Source organism: Homo sapiens, chromosome 1, assembly GCF_000001405.40.
Source record: "Homo sapiens chromosome 1, GRCh38.p14 Primary Assembly".
NCBI classification, from domain to species: domain Eukaryota; kingdom Metazoa; phylum Chordata; class Mammalia; order Primates; family Hominidae; genus Homo; species Homo sapiens.
Genome location: NC_000001.11, coordinates 47993178 through 48001467, shown reverse-complemented (window position 1 = coordinate 48001467; position 8290 = coordinate 47993178). Strand labels below are relative to the sequence as shown.

The following is an 8290-nucleotide window of genomic DNA, read 5'->3' as shown; positions in this document are numbered from 1 at the left end:
GTGAGCCACTGTGCCCAGCCCTTTTTCTGGCTCTTTCCACCACTCTAGACTGTCTTAACTGCCAACCTCTTGGTCCTAAAGTCAGCTGTCCTTCCCTCCCATGCCCCATGTCCTTCCCTCCCACACCCCATGACCTTCCATCATCAAGGATTAACTGCCAACCCAGGTGAGGGAGTTGGGGGAGAGGGTGTGGAGGAGATAGAGCCTGAGGGTGGGTAGGAAGGAGCAGGACTGGGATAGGAGTCAGAGCTGGAAGTCAGGCCAGGCCAGGCCCATTTGAAAATGCCAGTGTGGCCAATGGCCAGGGCAATGGCCTTGCAGGAGGGCAGCCCTCAGGCCCACAGCAAAGCTCCTCCTTTCAGTGGACTGGAGCAGGGGAGCCCCTCCTCTGCCTCCCTGAGAGATGCCCTTTAGCAGCACTGGGCTGGCTCCTGGATCTGCTCAGGAGGCAGACTTTGTTGGTTTAGTTCCGCTACAAGGCTTTCTGCTCCTGCCCTAACTGTTACAGCCTTCAATTCCTGGTACCAATTTGATTGAACAACTTAATTAAAATGCAATAAAAGGAAAGTGAGCCAAATGTGCCCAGGGGAGAGGAGGCAAGCTACGAGTCCCCTGACTCTCCCTTGAGCCCTGTGCTCTTCTCCATCCTGCCTAAAGGCTCTAAGCAGGCTGTGGCCAAGGGGCTCAGAATTCCAGTGTTATGTATAGAGGCTCCTAAAGGTGACCTGCTCCACAAACTTCTTCATACTGATGACATGGAACCTCAGTTCCTACTCAGGTCCAGAGAGAACAAGTGAATTACCCAAAGCTACCTCGTGAGATGTTAGCAGAGGAAGGATACGTCTCCAGGACTTAGGATTATCATCATCCAGGGTTTCTCACACTACACGATGTGGGAGGAAAAAAATGGTTTGAAAACACTGAGACCCTTGCTCTTGAGTCTTGAGGAACACTCTCTCCTGAGGCCCCAAACTTATTTATTTATTTGGTAACAGCTTTATGGAGATATAATTCACATACCCTACAATCCACCCATTTAAAATGTAATTCAATGGTTTTTAATATATTCACAGAGTTGTGCAACCATCACCATTCTAGAATATTTTCATTACTCCAAAAGGAAACCCAGCACTCTTCAGCTATGGCCCCACGATTGCCCCCATTCTTCCTAGCCCTAGGCAACCACCACTCTACTTTCTGCCTTGCTATATATTTGCCTATTCTGAACATTTCATATAAATGGAATAATATAATATACGTCCTCTTGCAACTGGCTTCATTTGGCATAATGTTTTCAAGACTGATTTATCCTATCCTGGAAATAGCATGTATCAGTGCTTCATTTTGTTTTATGGCCAAATAATATTCCATCATATGACTATAACATGTTTTTTAAATGTATATATTTAGCATATGATATGATATTTTTATATATCACATTTTGTTAATTTATTCATAAGTTGATGAACACTTGGGTTGTTTCCACCTTTTGGCTATAATAAATAATGCTGCTATCAGGCTTTACGTAGAAGTTTTTGTGTCGATGAATGTCCTCAGTTCTCTTGGGTATATATCTAGGAACAGAAAAATCTATTTGTTCTTGCTTCTCTTTAAGAATATCAGTAACAATACTGGTAAAGATCTTAAGACATTATTGCACACATTGACGCACAGAAAGTGAGGGGGACAGGAAACTGGCTGGGGAAAGAGAGGCACAGAAAAGCTAACTGTCCTGCCTTGGTCACAGTCACCACGTGTACCATGGAGGAGGAAGTCATAGCTGACACTCATGAAAATTAGCCAACAAAACTTTTATAATTTTAGGAAAAAAGATACCAGGGAAACTTTGTTTACAATACAGCAGGGGAAGGTTTTTTAAATCCACACACATATTTACACACATCATTGTTTTAAATTGATCAGGCTCTTTCTTATCCACTATCTGACTTGTGTCTTCTAATTCTCCAATGAGAACCATGACCCTCCCTCCAGTGGAATTCAGTTCTCACTTCCCCTCATCCTTACCAGCAGAGTGGTGACCTTGTAGGGAGTTTTGGAGCTCCGGAAAGTGGAGACTCTTTAAAGGACATCTCTTGTCAGAGCTGCAGGTCTCAGAGCTCTGTGTGTGGGAAGCATGGCGCTGTCCTGTGCTCTCATACATACCGTCTGGGCACTCTGGCCTGCTTGGTGTCTGTCACCAAGTGTGTGTGTAGCTAAGAGGCTGAGGTTGCTCCAGACACCCAGTAAGTTGAACCATATGAAATTGCCAACATGCATTCACTTGTAACTTACAAAAGTGGCAACTTCATGTGCACATGAGGGTAAACCTGCCAGTCTCTGGTGTCCCCTTCTTTCCTTCCCGTGTTCCTCCCAACCACCCAGATCCTGTGCTCTGGAAAACCTTTCTGGCCCTCCAGCCCTGCTTGGTCTTTCTCACTCAGCCTTCTAGTATGGTCATTTTCTAGCTGCTCAATCTGGTACCTGCAGGCATGAGTGGGAGAAGTGGGGAGAACACTGGGCTGGGAGTCAGGAGACCGAGGCTTGGGCTCTGGCTCCCTCCTCACTGACTATCTGCCCACTGGTCTCCCTGCCTCCAACTTGCCCCCTCCAATTCATGCCCCCGATGAGCACAGATCTACTCTAGCCACCTTAAACTTCAAATCTTGCAGTGACTTCCTATGACCTGATACCTAGAACGGACAGACTCCCCAGCTTGGCCAGAAGACACAACTTCAGCTCCTGCCACTTGCTTTTTGCCGCAGCCATGGGTAACTGCTTGCAGTCCCCTGCAGGTGTGCTCTCACACTGCTGCGCCTTGGCACCTGCTCTTCCTCCGCTTGGAAGGCATGTGCACCTCCTTCTCTAAGCTACCTCTGACTTATTTTTCAAGACCATCTCCCAGGCGTCTTCCCTGGGCCTCTGAGCTGTGTTAGGAGCTCTTCCTCTCTGCTCCCATTTCCTTGTGCTTCTGTCTCTCCTGGCCCTCATCATCTGTATTTTAATGGCGTCTTTGCATATCTGTCTCTGTCTGTCTCCTTCTCTAGGCTGTGGGCTCCTGACAGTATGACCTAATTCATCTGTCAATCTTTGTTGTCAGGATAGGAAGAGACGACAAACTCTCCTTTAACAGAACCAAGCAGGGGTGCCTGTGCCTCCCTTTCTTCATTTGCTGGAAACGGCTCAGAAGCTTAGATCTTGTGCTCTGGCCTTCTCTAAGTCTCATTTGCCTCTTGAGGAAGGGTAGGTTGGTTTAAGGGGTCTTTCAAGTCTTGTGGTCTAAGAAACTGGGATATCAATTCTCACTCTTCCAGAGACAGACACAGGGATCCTGCGTGGGTCCAAGGACATAGATAAGAGGGGATTACTTAAATGGAAGATTCCAAGGAATTTTGAGGATTTCTTTTCTTTTCTTTTACATTTGGTGTTTGCAGAGCATCTACCAAGCGCATCCCAGAGCTACGCGTGACATAAGGTTGCACACAGCAGCTTTCTGAATTTTGTGTGATTGCTGCCTCCCCAGTCCAACTCCTGTCCCTCTCGCTGTTCGCTCCTGCCAGGATCTGCGGGACGGATGCGTTGGGCGAGGCTGGTCCCCAAATCTGTCGCTGCCACCAGTCCGCGTCCGCCGCCGAGCCGGCGGAGGTTGGCCGAGCGGGTCCTTAGCCCGGGCGCCCTCTGGCGGCCGCACGGGGAAGCTGCGGCCCGGTCGCGCCTGGCGAAGGGAAGGAGGAGGGATGGGGGAGGAGGAGGCGCGGGCAGGGGAGGGGAGGAAAAAGTTGCGCTGGGAAGTTTGGAAAGTTGGGAAGTGGCTGCTGCGGGCTTCGCCTCCCTCCGCGCGTGTGAGGGAGCGAACGAGGGAGCGAGAGAGGAGCGAGCGAGCGCCTGCCATGCCCATCAGACCCCGCCTCGCCGCGCCCGGGCGCGGAGCTAGCCCTGACTCCCTGCCGCCCGGCCCGTCCCGGCCCGGCCCGGCGCGGCCCCGGCCCCTCGCCCCCCCGCCCCCCGCGCCAGGTCCTCCCCTCCCCCGCCCCAGCGGCCCCAGCCCCCAGCCCGGCCCGGCTCCGCGCCGCTCTCCCGCCCTCCTCTCTCCCTCCCTCCCGGCCGCGGAGCAGCATGGCGGAGCCCGGGCAGCGGCCGCGCGGCCGCCCGCCGCCCCTCTGAGCCGGGCTCGGGGGCAGCCGGTCGCCCCAGAGCCGCCCCCCACCCCTGCCGCGCCTTCCGCCGCACTTGTCCCACTGCGCGCCTCCTGGAGCGCCGCGCACCCCTGGGACCCTTGCGTGCCCCGGGTGCCCAGCATAACCCCGGGACCCTTGCGCACCCCGGGTTCTCGGTTCTGCCCCAGGAACCCCGCGCGCCCCTGGACCGCGACGCAGCTCCGGGACCCCGCGCGCCCCCGGACCCCAACACGCCCTCAGCACCCGGGGGCTCGGCCAGCGAGGTTGAGCGCCCGGGGGAGGGGCCCAGCCCTAGAGGGTCTCCCTCTTCCAACAGACGGAGCCCGGCCCCAGAGAAACCCCCAGGTCCGACAGGGACAGTCAGCCACGCCCCAGAGGGCGCCCAGCATCCTGCGGCTGGAGCCCCGTGCTCCAGAGGAAACTCCGTGCCCAACTGGGGGCTCCCCGCCCCGCTGAGGGGCGCCGCCCAGGAGGGTCCCCCGCGCCCCGCGGGCCCTGGCAGGATGCACGCCGCCCTGGCGGGGCCGCTGCTCGCCGCCCTCCTCGCCACCGCTCGCGCCCGCCCGCAGCCCCCGGACGGAGGACAGTGCCGGCCGCCCGGATCGGTGAGCGAGCGCCTGCCCGGCCACTCTCCCGCCTGCCTGGGTATTCTAGTCCCGTGGGACCATGGTTTGGGTCCTGCTTCCGCACCCACCTTAGCCCGCCCGCTCCACCTCCACCCCCCGGGCGCAGCCTCGGGCGCCCTTCCTTCGCTCCTGCCTGTCCCGGCTCCAGCTCCCAGCCAGGAGCGAGAAGGGGCGCTCCCTCTCCGGTTCCTTCTCCACACGCTGCCGCTCTGGGGCTCTCCTCTTGACTTGTGGTCCTGCTTGGACGCCTCCTCTCTCTCTGCCCCTTTTTGTCTCTCCTTTCTCATATTTTTTCTGTCTTTACCCTTCTGGTCTCTCTGCCCGCTTCTGACTGTGTTTTTCTACCGTTCCTTGCCCTTCTCTTGACTTCCATCGAACCCTTTTGCTCTCCCATTCACACACTCTGCCCCCTCCCAGGCTTCCCTCTCTCTCCCTGCCCTCCCACTCTGACCTAAGACAAACTTTCTCCCTGTTCCTCGTTCTCACCTCCATCTCTGCGGCCCAGGCTCCCACCACCTACTCTCCCAAGCGTCCATATTTCGTGAAAAGAGGGAAGATTTCAGAGGAGAGGAAAAGGCAATGCCAGGACATACTGGCCTAATATTTCTTGGGGTCGAGTAATTACTGGTTCTCCTAATATTCCTTCCAAAACAAAGAACCTCTTTATTTCCTTCAGTATCTTTCCCTCTAAGTGTAAATTAATGCATTGACAGTAACCCTGAATTGGAGGCCAGGAGACCATAGGGTCTGGCTGCTGTAGGTGTGCTGCCTGTTAGCCCGGAATTCGCTGACCTTGGGCAAGGTGCACCTCCAGCAGCCTGCCTTGTGCACAAACAGGGAGCTCGTTGGCTGACTGGGCTCTCAGTCTATCGCCAACATGCTGGGATTAACAGTTTGGGGTTGTTAGTAAAGTAAGGTACTGTTCTCCCACAACCCACCCATCCCAACACATACTTTTCATTTGTGCCAGAATCAGGCAGAAAAGTGTTATGAGTTGGTCTAAAGCTTGCAAGTGGTCAGTGGGCACTCCAGGGATTTTTCTGGTTGGAAAATGGCTTTGCCCTTTATGCCTAGCCCTGACTTGGATCTGTAGAAAGGACCCCTGTCTGCATGCCTCTCTTCAGCTCCTACATACACACACACGCGCACACACACACACACACACGCACACACACTCCCCTAAGTCGGAGCTTAGGTCATAGAAAATGACAAACAACTGGGGTTGGAAATCAGGTATACATTTTTAGGGGAGGAGCCTGGAAAGTACCCAGAATATGTACATTTCTTGGGACTAATTGTAATGGAATCCTTTCCTCCCAAACCAGATTCTGAAACTTGACTTGGCCTTGCAAGATTTTAAAGCACTTTCTCATCTATGGTCTCAGCTGGTCGAGCAAAGTAGCTGACACCCCAGACCTGCCCTCCAAAAAGAAAAGTGTATTCACCGTGATGAATGTGAAGTAGCTGTTTAAATAGGTGTGCTATTTTTAATAGGTGTTCTGCTTTCAAAGTGCTCTTGGCTTATATCTTCTAATGGTTGGATTTAAAAGTTATATGACTTCCTCCCTTCTTGCCAGAGCAGGACTCTTGGTCCTCCTTTCCCCACCCTCCGCATGAAACACCACCGGTGAAGGTTTGACTTGGCCAAGCATGAATATTCTCAGGTGGTGTGGCAGTCCTTGGCACTCACAGGGAACGCTAATCATGAGAGTTTCCCTTCATTGCTGACTTCCTCTGTACCTGGCACTGCTCTGAGGGCTTAATATACATATATTGTATCTTTTAATCCTCCCAACAACCCGAGGTAGTTGCTTTCACCCCCATTTTACAGATGAGGAAACTGAGCCTGTGGAAGTGAAATGATTCACTCAAGATCATACATCTAAGACAGGGCAAAGCTAGGTTTTCAATGTGGGTCTTTCAGGCTCCAAAGACCTGGCTCTTTACCACGGCCTGTGTATGGTCTCTGCCTCCCATCCCCACCTCCCTCTGCAACGTGCCTCTGGGCTACCCTGACTCTACTCTGTTGCCTTCGGCCTCACTGCCTTGCCTCTTCTCTACTCCTGCAGCAGAGGGACTTGAACTCCTTCCTGTGGACGATTCGGCGTGATCCTCCGGCCTACCTGTTTGGCACTATTCACGTCCCCTACACCCGCGTCTGGGACTTCATCCCGGACAACTCCAAGGCAGCCTTCCAGGCTAGCACCCGTGTCTACTTTGAGCTGGACCTTACAGACCCCTACACCATCTCGGCCCTGGCCAGCTGCCAGCTGCTGCCGCACGGGGAAAACCTGCAGGACGTGCTGCCCCACGAGCTTTACTGGCGCTTGAAGCGCCACCTGGACTACGTGAAGTTGATGATGCCCTCCTGGATGACGCCCGCTCAGCGGGGCAAGGGGCTCTATGCTGACTACCTATTCAATGCCATCGCGGGCAACTGGGAGCGCAAGAGGCCCGTCTGGGTGATGCTCATGGTAAACTCGCTCACAGAGAGGGACGTGCGCTTCCGTGGTGTGCCCGTGCTCGACCTCTACCTGGCCCAGCAGGCTGAGAAGATGAAGAAGACCACAGGGGCTGTGGAGCAGGTGGAGGAGCAGTGCCATCCCCTCAACAACGGGCTCAACTTCTCCCAGGTAGGCATGCAGTGCCCCAGCCCGGAGCTGACAGCCCTGGGTACCTGGGTCCTCTTCTCTGATTGTCTTTCTTCTCCGAGGGGGAGGGGGAGGCAGCCAGAGTCAGGTCCTTTTTCTGGAAGGAGAGGTTCTGCTGGGCAGCGAGGCAGCACCTGGCTGCTCTGGTGGTATCAGTTGAGAGTGGCGTATACTGGAATTTGGGGTAAGAGTCTGCGTGTTTGCTTCTATTTCAGCAGTATTACATGTTGGGGATGTACACTCCTCACCTGCTGTGCTTGCCTGGGCAGAAAGAATTTCCCTCAGAGCATCAGAGTGATCAAAAACAAAAAGAGGGGGCTTCCGGTTTGTGTCAGGCCTTCCTGAGGCCCTGGAGGCTGTATTGAGGCTGGTGTGTGGACAGTGCCCAAGAAAGTAAGAGGAAGGCATGGCTCCCAGGGCTGAGCCAACAAGGAGTTGCCTGGGACCTGGCGACAGTAGAGTGCTGCTTGCCATTTGAGGTTAAGCACCATCAGTTTCCCGGCTCTGTGCAAAGCTCTAGGTGACCCTCGGACCGCCTCGCTAAGGCCAGGAGAAAGTCAGCCAGGAGAGTTTTAAGGTTAATAATTTCAGAGAAGCGTGTTCGCTTAAAGGTTGACAGTCCTGATTTCTGAACCTCAGAAGTAGGAGAGAAGGGAGGGGCTTAAGAGGTTTAAAGTCTCTGGCTGCCAGAGATCTGATAGAGCAAAATGTCATTAAAAGCCCCTTCTCCATGGGCAGAGGTCACTTGCTACTCACTGGCCCCAAACTCAACTCTGAGACCCTGGGAACAATGAGTTCACATCTGTGCCTTGAGAACGGGGCTGTCAATCCCAGGATG

The 8290-nt window shown here is 54.0% G+C and overlaps 1 protein-coding gene across 10 annotated transcripts in view, besides 1 other annotated feature; it reads left to right on the top strand.

The window, feature by feature from the left end:
• Positions 3542–3591: an enhancer, noted in NCBI's record as "active region_1009". NCBI's record gives its function as "activates an Ori minimal core promoter by ATAC-STARR-seq in GM12878 lymphoblastoid cells {active_cell/tissue: GM12878}" and the evidence as "EXISTENCE:reporter gene assay evidence [ECO:0000049][PMID:35858748]".
• The window catches only part of TRABD2B (TraB domain containing 2B), a 236858-nt gene continuing 232650 nt past the window's right edge, over positions 4083–8290 (top strand). For all 10 annotated transcript variants that reach the window (XM_024446935.2, XM_024446933.2, XM_017001262.3 and 7 more), the window contains exons 1-2: positions 4083–4780; positions 6871–7434. In XM_024446935.2, the coding sequence (XP_024302703.1) occupies positions 4679–4780; positions 6871–7434 (666 nt within the window). In that variant the 5' untranslated portion in view covers positions 4083–4678. The remainder of the gene's footprint in view (positions 4781–6870; positions 7435–8290) is intronic.